We start from the raw sequence: 3442 nt of genomic DNA, 5'->3' as shown, positions 1-3442 counted from the left end.
GAATTAACTTCATATTATGAATGAGAAATATATCTTTATTAGATGTGCCAGAACTCACATAATTCTTTTGGCATTGGGCTTATTCTTTACAGCCTTTTGATGATTATTTGTTGAGAACTCTCAGCTTGAGTGCACCATGTTCTTTCCAAATGTAATCCATCAAATTTTTTAACCCCATGTGAAAAGATTCCCTTATGCCAATTGAAAGAAATATTTTGAAATCAAGACAGAAATGTGCAGAAGGGAAAAGGTGGTATGGATTTGCTCTGCCAAATCATTTAATGCAGAGTACCTGAGTTATACTCGCACCTAAGCAAGCCAGGGTAGCTTGCAGGAATTTGGTTTCTGAAGATGGAAAAGACCCCCAAGGAACTGACTTGTATTTCTCATTTAATTCAATTTACAGAAATAGGTTTGAGGGGGGTTAGTAGTTTAATGCTCTATCAAACCACTCCAACACTCAATAGCTTAAGGCAATAAACACTCATTTACGTCACAAATCTCAAGTTTAGCTGGGGGGATCTACTAGTCTTAGCTAGGCTCTTCCATATGTCAGGGGTGGGCTGGAGTTGGGGAGGCTTTGAATGGCCTTGGCTGAGATATTTAAATTCCTTTCCATGTGTCTCATCTTCCAGCAAACCAGCCTTGGTGTGTCCTTCTTATGGATGATAGAGAGCTAAAGAGAGTAAGCCATATTGTACAAGTGATTTTTTAGACCCTGTTTGTCTGAGCTAGTCACATGACTGACCCCAGAATTAGAGGGGGAGGATCTTACAAAGCTATATGACAAAAGGCATAGATACAGGAAGAGGTGAAGAGTTAGTGCTATTTTGCAATATACCACTGTGATTGTCCTAGGATCATGTTTTCTACAATGAATATGCACACTTTATGTGTGCTCTAATGCTTCCAGAGAGTGGAACTACGTCAAAGCTATTAAAATCTCACAAGAGAGTGCAGGGTTAAAGCTGTATTGCCTTATGGCACCATGTCCTATAAACATTGCACTAAAATACTCAAAGCTCATACTGTTGACTAATAATAGGAAATATGCCATTTGGGAACATTATTCTGATACTGAAGCCTACTGAAACTTCAACCACAATGCAGTTCAGATTTTCATAGATGTATCCCTTAGGAGAAATAAAGAAAACTAATTAAATGTTGAATTATTGCTCCCAAGCAACCCATTTGTGAAGGATAATGATCTCACCTGAAAGATAAAAGTTTTCAAGTGATCAGCTTCTTCAGCCCATGAAGCATTATCAAACACCTGAGAGTAATATGTAAAAGGCCTTCCTTTAGTTCCTTGGGCTAATTAAGAGGAACAGTGTCTCTAAGGAGTCTTCATGCACCAGGCTTCCACAAGTGCCTCATTCTGGGGTTTTCAGTTATAAGTCGTGACTCGCAGCTGCTGGGTTTTGTTCAAGATCATGAAGTTTATTTCCAAGATGTGGTATAAATTTTTCTTGTTAGGCCCCATTGCCAAGCAAACACTACCACTATTCAGCTCATAAACTGTACAACACAATAAGTAATTGCATACATTTTTTTACTAGTTCTATTTTCTTCTATCCCATGAAAAGTCTAAAAAATTCCACTTACTATGACTTGCTATTACATGAATTTTGACAGGTTCTACCAATTTTATAGTCTTTTTGTGTCATGAAATTCTAAATTTCCTTCATCTAAAGTATGGTAACCTCACTAAAAATGAAAACATTGTAATATAAGTAAGTAATATTAATAATGGCTAAAATTTGTTGGGTACTTATTACTTGATTTTACATCTATATAATATATGTTATGTATCTGATGTATATTATATATATTATGTATATGTTATTTATATATAACAGATATAAATAAATATTTTTGTTATTTGATTTTTGCAGCAATTCTAAACAAGGGTATTATAATTATCAGGATATTTAAGCTCAGAGCAAACATGTTTCTAAGAGATTGGATCTTGTAGATCAAGGGAAAGAAGTGATTGTGCTCAGCTTGGGAGCCACTTCCTGTGTAACCTGGAAATCAGCTCCACATAAAAATCTAGGAAGATTGTAGGACTCATCTCCTTTGTTACACTTCTGTGTATCACAGCCCTGTACTGCCTCTTGTCCAATGTTTGAAAACTCTTGTTTTATATATTCCTTCCAGTTATTTATTTATTACAAAAAAATAAGTTCAGTACCCATTACTGGGGCATGGCAGAAGCCATTCAACTTTTTCAAATAGAAGGAATATGTAAAGAATTTCGAAAGGGCCAATTAACAGTATCTACCACATCTTACAATTCTGATTTTGTCTTCGAAACTATTTTTTGGATCACCAAAGACTACATAAATCTAATGAAATTATAAGAATTATTTCAGTTCATTAGAAAATATAGATATTTTGTTACCACAGAAGCCAAACTTAACTCTTAAATTAAAAATCAACATCAGACTTCCAGGTAAAAAATGCAGAGTAATGAAGAGTTAATTGTCTAATGCTCCGCAGCCCTTGGGGGCCATCTCACCTTAACATGCCAGGCTTAGCGAATACTAGTCCAGATCTTATGCAGGGGGTGATTTGGGGGCAGTCATTCTTTTTGTGCTTGTTAATATCTTCATGGTGCCACAATTTAGCACTATACTCTTCTCTCTCTCTTTAGCTTTGAATTTCAAGTTATCAAATTATACACCAATCCTTGGCAACCATTTCAAACCATCTTTCTCTGAAATATGCTGGGCTCTTTTCAGATGTCAATCTGAATATTCCTTCAACTTAGGAAATATTGTTAATATTATGTATTCAAATCATTTCTCTGCTCAATTTTTTGGTTTCTATCTGTTAGGAGAACCAATTATTTTTATGTTATCTCATTTTTATCTTGCTCAATGTCTACTATTTTCCCACAAATTATTCGGATTTCTTAGCCTTCTCAGCATTTTCTACAGTTATCTCAAGTCATTCTTCTATGTCATCATCTCAATTTTAAGGCATATTTCACTTAAGGAGTGAGAAGTGTGTAGCATTTTTTTACCTAGAAGTCTGATGCTGATTTTTAACTAAGAGTTAAGTTTGGATTTTGTGGTCATAAAACATCTATTTTTCCTAAAGAACTGAAATGATTCTTATCATTTGATTAGATTTATGTAGGCTTAGTTGCCAACACGTTTAATACACTAGCTCTTCTAAACCTGATTTTCTGTATAAGCATCTATCCCCAAACTTGCATACCATGATGTTATTTTATTTTAGTGTTAGTGACTCCATGTACTTCTTGCTTTCAACTGTAAGCCAGCTCAAGTTCTGTTTGGAGTTAAGTAAAGTATGCAATTTAAAAACAAAATCACTTTCTTGGAAACAAAATGATATACCCTAAATCCCTATCATAACAACAGCTTCTCAGCCAACTGTCAAAATATTTTCTCCCACCATCATAAAGGGGCTCAAA

Source organism: Homo sapiens, chromosome 7 (assembly GCF_000001405.40).
Source record: "Homo sapiens chromosome 7, GRCh38.p14 Primary Assembly".
Lineage (NCBI taxonomy): Eukaryota > Metazoa > Chordata > Mammalia > Primates > Hominidae > Homo > Homo sapiens.
Note: the sequence above shows the minus strand (reverse complement) of the source record.